Source organism: Homo sapiens, chromosome 4 (assembly GCF_000001405.40).
Source record: "Homo sapiens chromosome 4, GRCh38.p14 Primary Assembly".
NCBI lineage: Eukaryota > Metazoa > Chordata > Mammalia > Primates > Hominidae > Homo > Homo sapiens.
Window position 1 is genome coordinate 178,104,712 of NC_000004.12, and position 21,427 is coordinate 178,126,138.

General features: G+C 32.7%; 1 pseudogene, besides 1 other annotated feature; it reads right to left on the reverse strand.

The window, feature by feature from the left end:
• Window positions 428–1,220: an enhancer, noted in NCBI's record as "OCT4-NANOG hESC enhancer chr4:179026293-179027085 (GRCh37/hg19 assembly coordinates)". NCBI's record gives its function as "activates a minimal SCP1, AML or CMV promoter by ChIP-STARR-seq in primed H9 embryonic stem cells {active_cell/tissue: H9 hESC(primed)}" and the evidence as "EXISTENCE:reporter gene assay evidence [ECO:0000049][PMID:30033119]".
• RNU1-45P (RNA, U1 small nuclear 45, pseudogene) lies at window positions 12,010–12,150 on the reverse strand (annotated as a pseudogene).

The window sequence follows — 21,427 nt, forward strand, 5'->3', positions numbered from 1 at the left end:
TTTTTATGACAGAATAGTATATATATATATACACACACACACTATATATATACACACACATAAGTACATATATATATGCACATATGTATACATGTATACATACATACATATATACACATATTTCTGTGTGTGTGTGTATATATATATATATATATATACACACTATACACACACACACACACATACCACATTTTAAAAATCCATTTATCCATTAATGATAGAATCCAGGTTGATTCTATATCTTTGCTATTGTGAATAGTGCTACAGTAAACAGGAGGCAGGGAAGTATCTCTTTGATATACAGATCTGCTTTCCTTTGGATAAATACCTAATAGTTGGATTACTGGATTGCATGGTAGTTCTATTTTTATTTTTTTGAGAAATCATATTGTATAAGTCCATTTTCATGCTGCTATGAAGAAATACCTGAGACTCCGTGATTTGAAAAGGAAAGAGGCTTAATTGACTCACAGTTCTGCATTGCTTGGAGACCTCAGGAAACTTACAATCATGGCAGAAGGCAACGGAGAAGCAGGCACCTTCTTCATAGGCTGGCAGGATGGAGTGAGTGCAAGCAGGTGAAATGCCAGACTCTTATAAAACCATCAGATCTTGTGAGACTCACTCATTATCATGAGAAAGCCATGGGGAAAACTGCCCCCATGATCCAATTACCTCCACCTGGTACTGCCCTTGACCCAGGGGGATAATGGTGGTTACAATTCAAGGTAGATTTCAATGGGGACAGAGAGCCAAACCATGTCACATGCTGTTTTCCATAATGGCTATCTTTACATTCCCACCAACAGTGTAAAACTTCTCTTTATATCCTTGACAGAATTTATTACTTTTTTGTCTTTATTCATAGCAGCCATTCTCGCTGGGATGAGATATTTCATTGTGGTTTTGATTTGCGTTTCCCTGATGATTAGCGAGTTTAGCATTTTTTATATACCTGTTGTCCAATTGCATGTCTTCTTTTGAGAAATATCTATTCAGAAACTTTTCCAAACCTTTTAAATGAGATTATATCTTTGCTGATGTTTGAGTTCCTTGTATATTCTAGATATTAGTCCCTTGTTGGATGAATAGTTTAAAAATATATTTCCCATTCTTTGTGTTGTCTCTTCATTTCGTTGATAGTTTTGTTGCTATGCAGAAGCTTTTAATATAGTCCCATTCACCTTTTTATGTTTTTGTTGCCTGCTCTTTTGATTATCTTAACCATAAAATATTTGCCTAGACCAATGTCCTAAAGTTTTTCTCATGTTTTCTTCTAGTTGTTTTATAATTTCAGGTCTTATGTTTAAGTATTTAATCCCCTTTGAATTAACTTTTGTATATGGTGAGAGGTAGAGATATATTTGTATCCTTCTCTATATTGACATCTTGTTTTCACAATACCATTTATTGAAGAGAGTTTCCTTCCCCCAGTGTATGTTCATAGCAACTGGTCAAAAATTAGTCAGGTGTAAATACAGATTTATTTTAAGCTTTTCTATTCTTCTCCATTTTTCTGTGTGTCTAATTTTATAACAATGCCATGCGTTTTAGTTACTCTAGCTTTATAATACATTTTGAAATTGGGTATTGCGATACCACCAGCTTTGTTTTGCTTGGTATTTCGATGGTCATTTGAGTCTTTTGTGGTTCCATACAAATTTTAGGATTGCTTTTTTCTATTTTTGTGATGAATGTTATTGGCATTCAAATAGGGATTGCATTAAATTCAAAGATTACTTTGGGGAGGATGGGCATTTTAACAATATCAATTCTTGTGAACATGAGCATGGGATATTTTTCCACTTGTTTGTGTTTTCTTCAATTTCTTTCATTAGTGTTTTGTGGTTTTTCTTATACAGGTCTTCACTTCCTTGGTTATATTTATTCCTAAGTATTTAATCTTTTGTAGCTATCGTAAATGGGATTGTCTTCTTGATTTCTTTTTCAGCTGACCCATTATTGGTGTATAGAAATGCTACTGATATTTATATGTTGATTTTGTATTCTGCAACTTTACACAATTTATCAGTTCTAAGAGTGTTTTGGTGAAGCCTTTAGGTTTTTTTATGAGTTTATGTTGTCTTCAAAGAAGGACAATTTGACTTCCTCTTTTCCAGTTTGACTGCATGGTATTTCTTTTTCTTGTCTGTATTGCTCAAGCTAGGATTTTCAGTATTACATTAAATGACAGTGGTGATGGTGGATGTTTGTCTTGTTCTAGTTCTTAGCAGAAAGGCTTTCAGCTTTTTCCCTTTCAGTATAATGTTAGCTGTGGATTTGTAATATATGGCCTTAATTATGTTGAGGTATGTTCCTTTTATGCCTAATTTGTTGAGAATTTCTATCATGAAGGAAATTTGAATATTATGAAATGCCTTTTATACATCTATTGAGGTAATCCTATGGTTTTTGTCCTTTACCCTATTGATTTGATGTATCATGTTTGTTGATGTGCATATGTTGAGCCATTCTTGTATCCCAGGGATAAATACCACTTGATCATGGTGTATTATCTTTTCAAATTATTGTTGGATTCAGTATGCTAGTATTTTCTTGAGAATTTTTGCATCTATGTTCATCAGGATATTGGCCTGAAGTTTTCTTTTAGTCATTATAGAATCCCTATGTAACTTGCTTTCAGGGTAATAGTGACCTCATAGAATGAATTAGGAAGAAGTCCCTCCTCCTCCATTTTTTTATTAATAGACAAGAATTGGTATAAGTTCTTCTTTACAAGTTTGATAGAATTCTATCATAAAGCCATGTGGTCCTGGGCTTTTGTTTGATGAAGATGTTTACTACTGATAGTCTTGTGACTCATTATTAGTCTATTTAGGCTTTCTATTTCTTCCTGATTCAATCTTGGTAGGTTGTCTGTGTCCAGGAACTTATCCATTTCTTCTAGGTTTTAAAATTTGTTAGCATATAGTTGTTCATAATAATCTCTAATGACTTTTTTTTACTTTGATGGAAGTTGTAATATTGCCTTTTTATTTCTCATTTTTTGTCCTCTATTTTTTCTTGGTTAGTCTGGCTAGCTATTTATCAATTGTATTTATCTTTTTAACAAACCAACACTGCATTTTGTTGATCCTTTGTAATTTTTAGTCTCTATTTCATTTGTTCTTCTCTGATCTTTATTATTTCTTTCCTTTTACCAATTTTGGGTTTGATTTCTTCTTGCATTTCTAGTTCTTTAAGGTGCATTGTTAAAATTTTTATTTGAGTTATTTCTACTTTTTAATAAAGGTGATGCAGGCATAGAAAGACAAGTACTGCATATTGTCACTCATATGTGAGTGCCAAAAAAGTTGATCTCATGGAAGTAGAGAGTGGAATGAGGGTGACCAGAGGCTTGTAAGGGTAGTGAGGCAGAAGTCCTAAAGATAAATTGGTAAATGGGTACAAAAATACAAGCAGATGGAATAAGTTCCAGCCTTTGGTAGCAATGCAGGGTGACTATAGTTAACAATAATTTATTGTGTATTTCAAAATAATTAGAGGAGTGGATTTTCAATGTTTTCTCAACTCAAAAAGTGATAAATGTTTTAAGTGATAGATATAGCAATTACCCTAATTTGATTATTACACATTGTATGGTTGTATCAAAATATTACATGCACTCCATAAAAATATACAACTATTACCTATCCATGAAAACTAAAAATTAAATAAACATAAAATATTTAAAAAATGACTGGGGACTTGTCTGACAGATCATAGGAAAAAATAAATACAAATAACTTTAAAAAATCCTAATTTTAATTGCTAATACATTATTTCCAAAATACAGTCATGAGATTTATTTTTTCACTAGAAATGAGATAATGTCAAAATGTGATATAATCTCAGAGTTAAATGAGATAATATTGTGATGCTCAGTATATGAGGAAAGGAACGTTCCTATACATTTTTTCCAAGTAATTACTTAATAACTCTCAAGGTTACAACTTGTCATAATTATAATTACAATTAATATCACTTGAATTGATTTAGCAACTCAATTTTTAGGCATTATTTTACACATAGCATTGATCCCATGGGCACACATGTAAAAATAGGTATTTATAATGTCATTCATTGAAATATATTTGTAGTAACAGAATATTATGAACAAATTTAATGTTCATCAACAGAAAACTGATTTAATAATGTATATGTTCACGCAGTAGAATACTATGAAACAAAGAAAATAATGCAAACTAAAACAAATAGACAAAAATCGTGTGTCACTGCTGCCAGGGAGGTGAAAACTACTCCCAAGTATAATACCACATGAAAAAGCAACTTGTAGAACAAAGTCTGTGATGTATAGCACCTGGGATGGAAAGACAAAAGGAAAAGATAAATGATAATAGCTGGGCTAATACTCAAGCAAAGTCTCAATAATTTTTACCCCTATGGTAACAACTATGAAAATTTGAGTCCCAAGGGAAACAAGGCCAGTGGAAGGTTTACTGTTCAACAGATTAACACCTGTGTAGATTGAATTTTAATTTATCTTTGTGTATATTACCTATTCCAAAACAACTTAATAATTTTAAATACATTTACAACACGTGAACTTGCTTGACTTGACTTGAAACCAAATCTTAGTTAAATCCAAAGTAAGACTTGTTAATATGCTACTTTAATTTTAAAAATAATGTTTTCAAAACTCACTAAATCAAAACATTAATTTAGCAACATACTGTGTCACAGAAGTTTCTGTATGATTCATGAAATCAAAGCACTACATAGTAAAAATGTGCTTTGTGGCCAGGCGCGGTGGCTCACGCCTGTAATCCCAGCACGTTGGGAGGCTGAGGCGGGTGGATCACGAGGTCAGGAATCGAGACCATCCTGGCTAACACGTTGAAACCCCGTCTCTACTAAAAAAATACAAAAAATTAGCTGGGCGTGGTGGCGGGCACCTGTAGTCCCAGCTAATCGGGAGGCTGAGGCAGGAGAATGGCATGAACCCAGGAGGCGGAGGTTGCAGTGGGCCAAGATCGCGCCACTGCACTACAGCCTGGGCGACAGAGCGAGACTCCATCTCAAAACAAAACAAAACAAAACAAAACACTGTGCTTTGTGCTAAATAACTAAATATATAATAACCACTTGTAACAACTGAAAAATTCTTTGAACCACTAATATATATTGCTATATGCGTAAAATATTTAGAAGCAAAGGATATTCCTGTTCTCTCTAATACATAATTCTTGGTTATTTTATTATTTTGTGAATGACATCTGACTTTCAAGAAGATTATTTATTTTTAAACAGCAAACGCAAACCACAAAGATAGAACAAGGTTCCCTTTTAAAGTTGCATGACTTTCAAAGTTATAGTTCTCTTTTGATCCAAGTATATATTTGAGTATCTATTTCCCTTCATACTTTTGACATGTTAGTAATGAGTTGAAACCCAGTCTGATGGCTAATATTGTCTTAACATGATGCATTTGCTTTAACGAAGCATTATGACAAATACTTTTTGATTGCAACATAGTTTTCTTCATTGGTTGTTCAAAAGTGACCAATTTTAGTAGCTACTCTGAAATATGTAGAAATATATGTTTCAATCCAAGTTAATACATTGTTAATGCATTTCAAGTGTTTGTGCAGAGTCAACATGGAAATTGAATTTCATTTGAAAGCAAAAACAAGTTACCACTTCTCACTGAAGTGTTTATGAATATGTAAATGTTAGTCTAAATCATAGTATAGAGATCTTTTCTGAGGCATCTTTAATTATCTGAAAGGATAAATATGAGACTCATTGTCATTTGTAAGGGAAAATGACAGGCTGTAATAAAAGGAATGAATGCTAAGCATAGATTTAAAAACTGTATTACATTAAACAATGTGAAAGAGGATATGGAAATACTAAAGATCTCAGGAGACCCAGATAACATTTAACATAGACTCTTTCAGTAATTACTCATATTGTATGACTTTCAAAGTTATAGTTCTCTTTTGATCCAAGCATATATTTGAGTATCTATTTCCCTTCTATTTTATTTTATCTATTTTAACTTCTATTTCCTCTTGATTTGCTGTTAACTGGTTATAATACATACCTTACCAACTTCCAATATTGGTTGTAATGACAAAACAGTGAACTATATATGAAAAATCTTTAAGAGTTATATAAAACACCAATTAAACATATTATTTTTATAATTCTAGAAGTATTTTTATTATTTCATAGTTGTGATGACTGAACTAACAATAACCCAAGTAATTAAAACAAATTTTTATTAGTATTTATTAAATAATCTATATGTGACTATGAATAATTTGCCATTAACTGTCCTGGAAAGAAGGAAGCTTGGTTTCAGCATCCTATGCCTCTGGAAAAGAAGAAAACATAAGAGAATCATTAAACCTTTTAAAAGAGACTGGGAGAAGTATTGATGAATTTCTCATAAATCTATTTTCCCTTGTACTATAACAGTACTCTCCAGTTTCTACGTGCATTGGAAAAAAAGTTTTGATTTTGTTTGACTTAGGAAGCTAACTTTTTTGTGAAAGAGACAGATACTCATTGTCCTTCCCAGCTCTTCTTGGATGGTTTGGAAAGAGCTTTCCTCTAATTCTGATCAGAAGTAGCAGCAACAGCTGGTTCTCCTCCCTCTGATGGAGATTACCACCATTTCCTTTCCCACCCCAGCTGACGACGGTGTCTATTATTTATGATCATTAGATTACACTCATCCCTCAGCTTTTGGGCAGGTATACAAAACCAAATCAGCACATCAATCTTTTCCTCTCTGAGTTTCCAGTCTACGGATTCACACCTGCCTCTTTCCCATATTTATTAGGCAAAAGCCTGAATCCACAGATGGGCCTTAAACTGTGAAGGAAAGGAAAACAAAATTTGGAAGAATCAAATGCTACAGATAATTTCATAATCTTGATTATATTTTTTAAAAAGTAAAAAAGATTAGCAGTTGATATTCTACCATTGCGATTCTCATTAGCAATGTTTAATTCTTACTAAACATTTTTAGATGAAAATGCAATAACATCTGTAAATACAAAAAATAAAATTTATGTTTAAATTTATTAATATACATGGGGAAAGAAAATCCTTTCCGATTTAGTAAAGAAACAAATACTAATTCCTTGTAGAAACACTGAGTAGGCCTAACGGATAGTTTAGAAACTGGGAGAGGGGCTAAACGTTGTTCACAAAGAAAATACATGAAGGTGTTCCTAAGCAAATGCACCAAGATAACTCTATTGAAATAATTCCATGAAATTCAAGTTCAGTATTATCTCCACTTACCCAGTTGCTGCAAAGCTTAAAGTATTTCTATAGTCATACCCACATGTACAAAATCATCTTGATGCTTGGTTAATATTATTGATTGCCTTAAGCACTGCAATTAACTAAGTTATTTGGCCTTTTATAGGAGACGTAAATTGCTGGATACTGTATCTTAAACATAAGAAATATAAAACTAAGTTTGTAACTTCTGCAGTGTATAACATAAATCAACATTGAGGCCAGGACTTTCCTTTAGGGTTCTATTTACAAAGCCACTATAATTGAATGAAAAGTAAGAATGGTGAGGGTAAGACCCTGTGAAGAGGGCTTTATTTCTGAACTAAAGATAGATTTTTAAATACGTGCCCTCTCACATAGCCTTCACCTGAGTTTCTAGCAGCAGCTGTGCCTTGAAGTGCACACAGGAGCTATGAAACTCTAAGGGGAATAAAAGGACTAAAAGAGGAAAAAAAGTTCAAGACGTTTAAGTCAACACTATAATTATGTAGAAATAAATATAACATGTAACATATCAATTCTGATAATAGCCTCAATATGTCATCTACTTATAATTTCCCTGCTTTTAAGTAGCTTATACTGAATCAAATCGAAGTTATAGTGAAACGAACCAAGGCCAAAACTGTTTAATTGTTTAGACTTTAAGTGAATTAATGTCACCTAACTGCTTAAGTGAATAATTATGAGGATTTTAAAGCCCAAAATTTTCTTCAAATTTCTGTCTCTATTGTTATTTTTATATATCTGCAGTATATTTTAAATAGTAACATTTCTTTATACACATCATTATTTCCTTATCTTTCTTCATATTCATATCAATCTATCTAACTTAAGGCTCTCAGAATAACAACAAAGTATTTCAAGTTTTCAGTCTTAGAATTGTCAACTTGTTAAAAAAAAACCCATGTTATAAGTCATTTGAAATGACAACTTAATATTAACAAAAGGTCTACATAGAAAATACTGATTCAGGAAACAGAATATAGGGAGGGAACTGGGAGCTAGTTCCCGAAACCCCACTGCTCTGAGCTGGGGATGGGTTGGGGTTAGGGCTAGTAAAAACACCATGAATTTTCCTATTTTTTTGAATGTGGCTTTTTCTTAGTTGGATATTTATTTGTTTGTTGTAGACCTTTGGCTGTTTTTCTGAGTTCCTATAAAGTTATTTTAGCCAGTCTCTAGTTTTTTATTTTATTTTAACGTTTCTGTTTTGTTTTTATTATTATTATTTTAATGCCTCTGGTATAAGAGGGCCTGGAACTTCTTGGTTCCAGCCATATGGCTGAAATCACTCCTCTGGAGCTATTTTTAAAGAAATATTTTGGCTCAACAAAATTAAACACTGGCATATCAAGTAAATTGGAGTAAATCAATGAATGGGTCTTCACCTAAAACCATGTGATTTTCTTATAACATAGTGATCGTGTATGCTGGATTTAAAAAAATAGCAATTATACCAATAAGGAGTTTTTGTCCAAAAACTTGTCGAAAATTGTTAACTGTATCAAACATGTAAGATCATTAAAGTAATGTCTCTTGGACTGCCATAATCCTTATTCTACATCTCGGACAACTTAGCGCAACACATTTTCCATCTCAGTGACCTACATCTTGGGTAAAAAGCTGTTGCAATGAATTATGATAATATGTATATCATAACATAGTTAGCAAATTTAACTTGTATTAAACACTAGGTTAAACACGTTTAGTGTTAGCAACTCTATGTCATATAAACACGTGTGATGGAAAATGCCATAAGGAATGTGATAGATATCAGGTACAAATGTAGATTCAAACAGCATGTGATCCTAACTTCCATATGTAAATGCTGGTAGTCCTGAGGATTCACTTATTACAATGTTTGAAATCTGCTATTACTTATAGTAATCAATGGCACTTTTAATACCTTTACTTCTCTTCAACTTTCCTTTTTTATGATTTATATCTCTCAAATATTTCAGCCTGTCCATCATTTATTTCGGTAATGTATGTGTCTTTTCCAAAACTGACAGAAGATGATCTTGAAGGTTATAATGAAATTATCACTTGAAAATAAAAATGCAATATTCCCTTTTAACCCATGTAACATAAAGCTGTCTTAGCACTTTCTTACAAGTAGGATAAAAATGCACAAATTTTTCAATTATGCTAAAAACTAACATTAGGTTGATGGAAAACCCGCAATTACATTTGCACCAACCTAAATTATAATCACAGTATTATACTTTTGTTGTCACACAATTTCTAATATTATAGTTATTAATATAATATAAACACAACATAAATTTTAATATATAATCCTATAAATATAGGATCTATAACTTCTGACTTTCAAACTGTAAAACTTTCTGTACTTATTAACCTATTCAGAAATCAAACCAAAAGCTTTTAATTTAATTTTAAAGTAATTCCATGATTCTGCATGACCAATTTTCCAGTCTCAATGCCAAATATTTCCAACATACTTTCCAACTTTTTCTTGAATCTCCTTATAGTCTCTGTGCTCTTTTCTATTACCACGTTTATACCCATCACTCTGCTTCAGAAACAGATTAATTGCATCATTTCTTCAACGAATATGTCTTATTTCATCTCTACCCTCTTCACACCAGATGTATGTCCTTCTCCTACCGTTGGTAGAAATGGCTTCAAATATTTTGCGTAACTACTATTTAAATAATTTACAAACTGTATAATATTTTACTAAGTTTATGTAAGATTCTAAATCTTCTGTTGTCATTTCAACAATATTCACAGCATCTTCACTAGGAGTAGCTTCCATTACAAAAAACTACTTTCTTTGCTCACACGTAAGAAGCAATCCTCATCCATTCAAGTTTTATCATAAAATTCAGCAAGTCAATCACATCTTTGGCTTGACTTCTAATTCTAGTTCTCTTGCTATTTTCCCACTACCTGCAGTTACTTCCTCCACTGAAGCCTTGAAACAATCAAACTTATTCATGAGAGTTGGAATCAACTTCTTACAAACTCCAAACTCCAGTTAATGTTGATATTTTGACCTCCTCCCATGAATTATGAGTGCTCTTGATGGCATGTAGAATGGTGAATTATTTCCAGCAGGTTTTCAATTGACACCTGGATCCATTAGAGAAATCACTATCTATGGCAGCTGTAGCCTTATGAAATGTATTTCTTAAATAATAAGACTTGAAATTCAAAGTATTACTTTATTCATGGGCTGCAGGATGGCTGTTGTGTTAGCAGTCATGAAAACAATAATCTTTTTGTACATCTTCACCAGAGCTCTTGGGTGACCAGGTGACTTGTCAGTCTTTTGAAAGGAATCTTTTTTTCTGGGCAGTAAGTCTCAAAAATGAGCTTTAAATATTCAATGAACTATGCTGTAAACATACATGCTATTTTCTTGGCTTTGTTGCTCCATTTATAGAGCACAGACAGAGTAAATTAAGCATAATTCTAAGGGCCCTAGGTTTTATGGAATGATAAATGAGCATTGGCTTTAACTTAAAGCTATCAGTTGCATTAGCCCCTAATAAGAGAGTCAGCCTCTTTGAAGCCAGGTATTGACTTCTCCTTTCTAGCTATGAAAGTCCCAGATGACATTTCTTCCAACATAAGGCTGTTTTGTCTACACTGAAAATCTTTCATTTAGTGTAGCCACCTTCGTCCATGATCTTAGCTAGATGAATTTACTGCCATGCACTTTCTACAAAAATTCTTGCTTCACTTTGCACTTTTATGTTATGGAGACAGCTTCTTTCCTTAAACTTCATGAACCAACCTCTGCTATCCTCAAACTTTTCTTCTGCTGCTTCATCACCTCTTTTAGCCCTTATAGAATTCATTGAAGAGAGGTAGGGCTTTGCTCTGGATTAGGCTTTGGCTTAAGGGAATGTTTTGACAGGTTTGATCTTCTATCCAGACCACATTCTCCATATTAGCAATAAGTTTGTTTTATTTTCTTATCATTCACATGTTCACTGGTGTAGCCCTTTTAATTTCCTTCAATAACTTATCCTTTGCATTCTCAGCTTGGCTAAGCGGTGCAAGAAGCCTAGCTTTCAGCTGACGCCTTTCTCACTAGGCTTTCTCACTAAGTGGCGCAGTCAGAACACACACATTTGTCAATTAAGCTAGCAGTTTTGTACAGGAATGCTTCATGGTGCCTCAGAACTATTAGAATAGTCTTAAATAAAAATTATAGAAGGCCATTGTTTTGGACTAAATTCCTGTACTAGGTCCAACAGACCAAACTAAAAATTAAAATGGAGTCACTCATGCTAAAGTTCCATGTCATCAAACCTAAACTAAGTTGTTATCCGACCTTCCCACATATTAGGAGAGAGATATAACAGCTAATTTTCCCAAACTGACCAATATGAAGTCTTCAACTGGCATGACAATGAAGTTTCCTCTGCTTTAATTCTTATGCACATAAAAAAGATATCCTGAGGTAACTCGATGTTAACTAATAATTTATGTTCCTATTGTTCTGTCCAAAGTAACTAATACACTCTGTTCTTTGCTTCGGCTTTTTTAATCCCTTTTCTGTCTGTAAAGCCAACTTCTTCTGCTCAACTCATTGGAAGACTTATTCTATTTTATAGAATGAAATGTTGCCTGATTCTAGAATTGCAAATAAAGCTGATTCATATCTTTAATCTAAATTTGTTGTAATTTTGACTTTCATCAATGGTACCATCAAGGATTACTAATCACAGATCACCATAACAGATATAAAATTAATAAAAAAGTTTTGAAGTATTGTAAGAATGACCAAAAGGCAACACAAAGACACAAAGTGAGCACATTTATCGTGCAATGGATAAACCTCACCCTGGGAAAACCACCTTCCTGATCACGGTATCTCCCCTGCCAGTTAAGTGAAGTGCATATTTTTGGCAATACGGCACTGGCAGAACTGTTCAATGCAGGGTTGCCATAAACCTCCAACTTGCAAAAAATACAATATCTGCAAAATGCAATAAAATGGCATATAAAAATATGTATGTTTATATGTATATGTGTATATATATGTTTACACATTAATATATGTATATATACACATACATTCTTTTAATTTCATGTAATTATGAGTCAAGTGCTAAAATAATCTATTTTCTGGATTAAATTGTAATAATTATTAGTTCTGGATTAAATTGTAAAATTAAAATAATTTAGTCAAATATGCACTTATAGCCTGTCTAACCAATTATTAAATATGAACAAACGTTTTTCAAAATGCATCTTAGTTAAAAGAATAAGCCTTTGAAAATTTTGTTTATGCATCTCTGAGTAAATATTACTCATTAGTTGGATAAGAAATTTGGCATTATTTCTATTCTTACTTTTTAACTTTATTACCATAACACCTGAGAAAATTTCTTCATGTAAATAAGTAAAAGAGAAAAGAAAACGTTGGGATGTAGCAATGCCCCACATTATTGAAACCCCTACTGATTTAAAAGTTAAAATCATACTGTACTCTGTCATCAGAAATAGACTCTACATTTTGTTAGTTAATAATTTAATCAGGTTTTATCTCAAATTTGTCCTAAGCAAAGAGTTGGAAACCACTCTTCTTACACACAAGTTTGTTTCCTAGTAATTATCACATAGATTTTCTTTTTTTTTTTTTTGTCAGGAGTTTAATTCAGAAAAAGCATGATATAAAAGATGAAGTCAAGATGAGCAGCAGTTATTTAACCACATTAGAACCCAGGCCTGTAGTTTCTTTTGCTAGAGACATTTACATAAGCAGACATCATCTTTAATCTTTGTTTATATTGTCACAGTCTTGTTTTTAGTCCTTTTGCCTCTTAAAACTAAGCTGTCATTATTACTTGGACATTTTTACTGGCTTATTCATTCCAGTTGGGATTTCCTTCCAACCTTGCCTGGGAAATCCAGTTACTAATGCAACTACAGATAACGGTAAGCTCAACTTCCACTACAGTAGCCATTTCTGTTTATCAATTTCTAATTTGTGAAATACAGAGCTGACGACTGGAGATACATAAATGAAGGAGTCTCTTACTACCTGATGCAGAGAACTGTGCTCACCTGCATTGGTAGGAGTTTTAATTTCACCATTTTCACTAGAAAATTTTCGCAACCTACTCATCTGTCAAAGGGCTAATATCCAGAATCTACAATGAACTCAAAAAAATTTATAAGAAAAAAACAAACAACTCCATCAAAAAGTGGGTGAAGGACATGAACAGACACTTCTCAAAAGAAGACATTTATGCAGCCAAAAAACACATGAAAAAATGCTCACCATCACTGGCCATCAGAGAAATGCAAATCAAAACCACGGTGAGATACTATCTCACACCAGTTAGAATGGCAATCATTAAAAAGTCAGGAAACAACAGGTGCTGGAGAGGATGTGGAGAAATAGGAACACTTTTACACTGTTGGTGGGACTGTAAACTAATTCAACCATTGTGGAAGTCGGTGTGGCGATTCCTCAGGGATCTAGAACTAGAAATACCATTTGACCCAGCCATCCCATTACTGGGTATATACCCAAAGGACTATAAATCATGCTGCTATAAAGACACACGCACACTTATGTTTATTGTGGCACTATTCACAATAGCAAAGACTTAGAACCAACCCAAATGTCCAACAACGATAGACTGGATTAAGGAAATGTGGCACATATACACCATGGAATACTATGCAGCCATAAAAAAGGATGAGTTCATGTCCTTTGTAGGGACATGGATGAAATTGGAAATCATCATTCTCAGTAAACTATCGCAAGGACAAAAAACCAAGCACCGCATGTTCTCACTCATAGGTGGGAATTGAACAATGAGAACACATGGACACAGGAAGGGGAACATCACACCCTGGGGACTGTTGTGTGGTGGGGGGAGGGGGGAGGGGGGAGGGATAGCATTAGGAGATATACCTAATGCTAAATGATGAGTTAATGGGTGCAGCACACCAGCATGGCACATGTATACATATGTAACTAACCTGAATATTGTGCACATGTACCCTAAAAGTTAAAGTATAATAATAATAAAATAAAATTAAAAAAAATTATCACATAGTTTTTCAATACTAATGTCAGTGTGTTATGATGTTTTGTTTAGTTGACTGGTGTGCTAGTACCTATTACATAGATAGCAATGCCTAGACTAAGAATTAATAAGAAGTGTCTTTCTTTAGAAAATGAGTTAAAGGGTGACCTTTCAAGCAGATTAATTTTAAGAAAAGTATAAGAGAAATTGAAGCTCTGATATTAATAGCTTAATATTTTCTATATTTATACGTCCCAGAAAGTTTTTGAAATCCCCAGAAGTATGTAAACCCCATTCTGAAAACTCCTGTTGTCTTGCACTTGATAGAGTCTGAAAATCAGGCTTTCATTTTAAGCTGCTTGTGATACCCACTGTTGTTTTACAAATATTTGTTTAAAATCCTTAGGTAAGGTAAGTCACTTGAGTAACGGTTGGTTTATGTTATGTACTTTATGATGCTCAGCCACAACTTTCAGTGCAAAATAGAATCACAAATATGCACTTGCTTAATCATCACTTTTAAAAGCATGAGTGGAAAGGGTGAAAAAACACCCCCAAAAACACAAGGAAATAGAACGATGTAGACATTTTTAAATAGTAATACCAAAACATTTTATATTCCAACTTTAAAGCATTATAATTTATTTTGAAGAAAACTATAAATTAGATTACAACACGTTTCTGAATATAAAGTTAGACTGCAAATTAGTGGGAGTCCTTACATTTAAATTCAATTTGTAACACAGTCACATCCCCACGCATGCACTTGCTGCTTCCCCATGGGTATATATGTACATCCTGAAAACGATATTTTTGTTTACACTTATATATATATATATATATGTGTATATATATATGTATATATATATATGTGTATATATATATGTATATATATATATGTGTATATATATAATTTAAAGAGCTTTATTTTGTTTTCCCAGTTGGATATTTCTTGAGGGCTAGTGTCACAACTTTTTACAAAATAAGCTACATGTAGTTTTGAAAAGAGCAAACACTTATGAATGTTTTTTCATTAAAAATACCTACAAGAAAGAAGAAACAGAAATTTGGAAAAAAAACACTATCAATCTAACACTTCAGAGATCACTACATATTGAGCATCCTTAATCTGAAATCTAAAATCCCAAATGCTCCATCCCAAATTCAAAACTTTTTGAACACTGACAGAACACCACAAGTGAAAAATTCCACAGCTGGCCTCTCGTGACAGGTCACAGTCAAAATACAGTCAAAATTTTGTTTCATGTACAAAATTATTTAAAATATTGTATAAAATTACCTTTAGGCTATATGTGTAAGGTATGTATGAAACCTAAATAAATTTCATGTTTAGCTTTGCATCTCAGTGTTAAGATATCTCATTATTTATATATAAACATTTCCAAAAATATACACAATCTGAAACTCTTCTGGTCCCAAGCATTTTAGATAAGGGATGATCAATCTGTCCAAGGTTTTTTCCGTAGTTTTTGTCATTTTTATATTATCTTACTAAGTGTGTTACATTTCAACATCTACCTGTAAATAGATTCCATATTCTTATACATTCACTTGATTTATTTTGATTTTAATTCATTTTAATTTTGATTTTTATTCATACGGTCAGGATAATCTTTATTCTCCTAAACTATACATTGTATTTTACAACATAAATGTGCTTATCAAGACTTAACCCCTTTGTTGATACTTAGCTAGGCAAGAGTTTCATCTTTATAGGTAAATCCATTTCTCCACATTCTTAATAATTTCATTTGATTTCTAATTTTTCTAACTGCTTATAATTTACAATTCTAGTACTATACAGAATTTAGTTGAATATTCTGAATAATTTTAGAAAAAAATCATTCTGTGAATATTATTGCAGAATGCATTAATCTTTTTCATAGCCGATAAATTTCCTTATATCCCCATATTACTGGCTTTATGTTTCAATGTGTAATATAAACTAAACTATTTACACATTCTCCATAAAGCTTAGAAATAAACAACACAAAAGTAAGAACATAATGTGTAGCTGATCTGTTATATAGGAATAGTTGACCTTAACAATGTATAATACCTTAGAATTTAAAGAAGATATTGTGCTATAAAATTGAGAAAATATATATGGTATTTACAAATATGACCACATTTCATACTATAGGAAGAAAGAAAAAAAATCACCTAAAATAATTACTATATCACTTCTGGTTTCAGCTTCATGTAAAAAAAAAGTGAGTACCCTTTTCCTTACAACAAGAAATGGGACAAACTAAAAGTTACCAGCTTTTCCTAAACCCATAAGAGAACTCAGGTGGCAGAACTGTCCAGTCTGAAATTTGGAGCTACAGGATCATCCAGTGAGCCTTAGCTAAGATCTGCCTATCTGGAGCAGATGCTGCTGAAATCATAACTGGTAGGAATATTTAAATGGTATGTTTATTGCGGCACTATTCACAATAGCAAAGACTTGGAACCAAGCCAAATGTCCAACAATGATAGACTGGATTAAGAAAATGTGGCACATATACACCATGGAATACTATGTAGCCATAAAAAATGATGAGTTCATGTCCTTTGTAGGGGCATGGATGAAGCTGGAAACCATCATTCTCAGCAAACTATTGCAAGGACAAAAAACCAAACACCGCATGTTCTCACTCATAGGTGGGAATTGAACAATGAGAACACATGGACACAGGAAGGGGAACATCACACACTGGGGCCTGTTGTGGGGTGGGTGTACAGGGGAGGGATAGCATTAGGAGATATACCTAATGTTAAATGACGAGTTAATGGGTGCAGCACACCAACATGGCACATGTGTACATATGTAACTAACCCGCACGATGTGCACATGTACCCTAAAACTTAAAGTATAAAAAAATGGTAATTTTGATGAACAGCTGTAGGATGAATGTATATTCGTGTTAAAATAAAAAAAAAAGTAACGCCTGAGGACAGCAGTCTCAGAGTTGTCTCCATATGCTTGTGGGGCTTTACCTCCAGAAAAAACACCAGAGGCTCATAAGGAAGATCCTATATATTCTTCTCTATATCTCCAGAAGGAAGAGGGTGAGAGTAATCATTGTGAAATATATCCGAGCCTTCTCCACAGCAAACATAGTCTTCTGGAGGAGAAAACTTTGGCAGTTTAGGCATTGAGGGTTATCTCAATTGGAAGAAGTTGAATTATACTACTTCAGCCCCTTCTATTCTTCCTGTCTCATGAAGGCCTAAACCTCACAAGTCTAGGCTTGAAAGTGAAGGACAGAGGATACTGCAGCCAGGGAACGAATTTGGAGGAAGGAGAGCTAAGCTATTTCATAGGGGGCAGAAACACTTTGAAGGTCACAGCCCCAAGACATAAGACCATTAAAAGACTGAGATGTGATCAGAAAATTACAGAACACTTCTCCTTTCCCACAGTTTACAACGATATAGTAGGGCTCCAGTGTAAAAGTAGTGGATTATAGCTGAAAAGAAGTAAGATACAGCCTCTCTTAGAAAAAAAGTACTTAGGGAAGTTCAAAGTCAAGAAGGAGGACAAAAACAAGGCCATTGGGAGAATGAAAGACTTCTGGAACTGACAGCTACCACAAATATTAAACACAGCCCAACGCTTAGCACACTACAGGCCTGTTTGCTTCAGCACTTATCACCAAAACATCATATCTTACTTTCAACAAAAATGTTACCAAGTTGGAAGGCATGACAAAAGCAAGAGAGAACATAGTCTGAAGAGCAAAACAAGCATCTGAACCAGATTCAGATATGACACTCATGTTAGAATTATCAGTAGAGAATTTAAAATAACTATTATGAATATGTTAAATGATTTAGTAGAAAAAATAATTCAATATGCATGAGTGAATGAGCAATGTAAGTAGAAAGGTGAAATTCTAAAGAAAAATGGTAAGAAAATGCTGGAAATTTAAAACACTGTAATAGAAATGAAGAATACCTTTGAGGGCTTATCAATAAACTCAACATAGCTGAGAAAAGAAAGAATTTAATTTAAAATAATCGAATAAAAATTTCCTCCCCAAATAAATGTAAAAGAGAGAAAAAAACAAATAACAACAAAAAAACAGTGTATCTAAGAACTGTAGTCCAATAAAAGGTATAATATATCATCACTGTAATACCAGAAGGAAAAGCAAAGAACAATCTGGAGGAAATATTTGAAGTAATAATGGCCGAGACCATTTTAAAATTAATGACAAACACCAAACAACAAATTCAGTAAGCTCAGAGAACACCATGCAGGATAAATATAAGAAACAAAGAAACATAAATGCCACACCAAGGATATATTGTTTTCAAAACTTAGAAAACAAGAAACAAAGAGAAAATTTTGAAAGACAGGGGAGGTAAGGGATGGTAGGCATGTCACCTACAGAACAGAAATAGGAATTACAGGGAATTTCTTGCTATAAGTCACGCAAAGCAATGAGAGAGTGGAATGAATTATTTATCACATTAAAAGAAAAAAACCCCAACAATTTATAATTGTATATCCAGTGAAATTATTCTTCAAAACAGAAGGATAAAGCCTTTCTCAAGGAAAAAATGAATAAATTCATTACCAGTAATCTTTCCCTGAAGGAGATGATAAGTTTTTTAGACATAAGGAAAATTATGTAGGTCAGAAACTCAGGTACATAGAGAAAGGAAGACCTTTGGAAATGAATTAAATGAAATAAAATCCTTTATTTTTCTTATTCCTGAACTAAACAAACACTAGCTGTTTAGTTGACCTAAAACAACTAGTGTTTGTTTACAACATTAATAAGTAAGAATGTACAAATAACTACTGTTTGTTTAAGGCATTAATAATAAGAATGTACTAAGTAATGATAGCATATGGATAAGTGAAATGAATGACAGTAATGTCACAAAAGATAGTGGGGAGGAATTGGTAATATTCTATCACATGGTATCTGCAGTACATGGGAAGTGGTATAATATCACTTAAGGGTGGACTTAGATTATTTAAAATGTAAATTATAACTGTAGGGCAACAGCTAAAAAAAGGGAAATAAAAATATAATGTTAAGAGAGGAAATGAAATGGAATCATATAAAATGTGAAATTAAAACCCCAGAGGGCAGAAAAAGAGAGAAAAGAAACAAAAGCAAACGCAATGAATATGTATCAGTTACAAACACTATAAATGTGAATGGTCTAAATATGCCAGTTAAAAGACAGAGATTGTTATAGCACATACAAATTATGAACCAATTCTATATTGTCTACGAGAAATCCACTTTAAATATAAAGACACAGATGGGTTAAAAGTAAAGGAATATAGAAAGAAATGCCATGTTAACATGAATTTTAAAACTGCTGAAGTACCTAGAGTAATATCAAAATTATGTTAGTAATATGTTAACAATAGATGTTAAATGTGGATCTGTAGTATCTTCAGAATTTTTCTATAAATCTAAGGCTACTCTTAAACGAAATAGTTATTTTGAGAAAAATAACTTCATCGGAATCATGTTCTTAAGCAGTAAGGGCAGTATAATGCAATGTTGAAAGAAATAATATCCACATATTTATTGATACATGGAAATAAAACTATAAAGAATATTCTTAAAATAATTAGGCATAGTTTACTTTAGAGGCCATTCTATAATATGTATACTTTAAATGTTTAATTTCATCCTCTGGATCTTCTTAGGTCTTGGTTCCCTAGAATCAGGGACAGAAGAAGAAGTTCCTGTATGAATTATTTATTAAGGAAGTGCTATCATGCAAGGAGGTAATAGAAGCAAAACCAAATAGAAAAGGAAGTTGAACAAAGAGGTGTGGCTCAGCCTGATTTTACAGGTATACCTGTAGTTTGAATGGCTCTTCACGATTGTTATGTCTCCATACAAAGGGTCTGGCTTTTATATTCCCACATTAGTCATGGGCCTCAGTCCTCACTACCCCCAGGATGTGCACATTAGGACACCAGGAAAATCACTTATATGGGTATGTGTTGCTTTTGTTGGCAGAAAGCCATGATAAATAGTTTCATGTAGGCTGTTTAAATCATTTGTTGAAAGTTATAAATTAGATAAATTAATTTTTTAAAACTTTCTTTTCTTTTGCTAATAGCCCACAGTGTTTTTCTATAATTTCTATGTCCTCAGATAACATGGAAGGCTCACACTATTTCTTGTTTGTGTAAATGTTTTTCCAAAGCAGACTGCATAGTGTACCTAGATATTACTTTTTCTTTATTACTCTCTAGTGTCTTTAAACATCTTAAAGATAGGTCCAGAGTCTACAAAATAGGAAATTAACTGGTAGCCTGACTCCAGTGGAATTATAAATCCTCAATGCAAACATTTCTCTTTTTTACAACTTTGTTAATGATCTGATTTTACTCCATATTTTCAAAGCTAAATCACTACTGTTCAATTAATTTAAGGCTTTTAAAATGCAAACGTATAGTTGTAAGAGAACAGCTGCACTAAAGTGCTATTTGCTTAATCTGCAAGGCTATTGTTTCAGAGACACCAAGCATTCAAACGAAACATACTTCACTAGGAATTATCAGGAGTAAAATGAAGTGATGTTTTTCTCTACAAAATACAAAATAGAGTTTAAGTGTGATGCTGTAAATTGAGGTATAATGTAATCAATTCATGAAGTACACATAGCTGCCTTACATATTTTGTGTCAATTGATGGATTTGTGTTAGAATGTAGTACTGTTTACATGATAGTACACAATGATTGGTTATCTAGATTAAATCATGGGTATAGTAAATCTAAATTAATTATTACCTGAATCATAGTCATAAATTTCATTTTATTAGAAATAAACAGGTTTTTAATTAATGCTTTACTCATAGCTCCCTTAAGAATAAATATGGAATGAATGGACTGTTTAAATGCATCTATATATATATACATGTTTATACTTAGCAGTTGAACACACATATATCTCTAGATACATATAATCATAAGTTCAATATCTTCCATCCTTTTAATCAGTTTTCCAAAGACAAGGATATAGAAACTATTAAAGTGAAGAAAATATCTATCAAAGATTAGGGAAGCATTACATGAAGAAAATTATTTTTTGTTTATCTCCTGGAAATAATACATTTAGAGCCAAGTTAATTTATT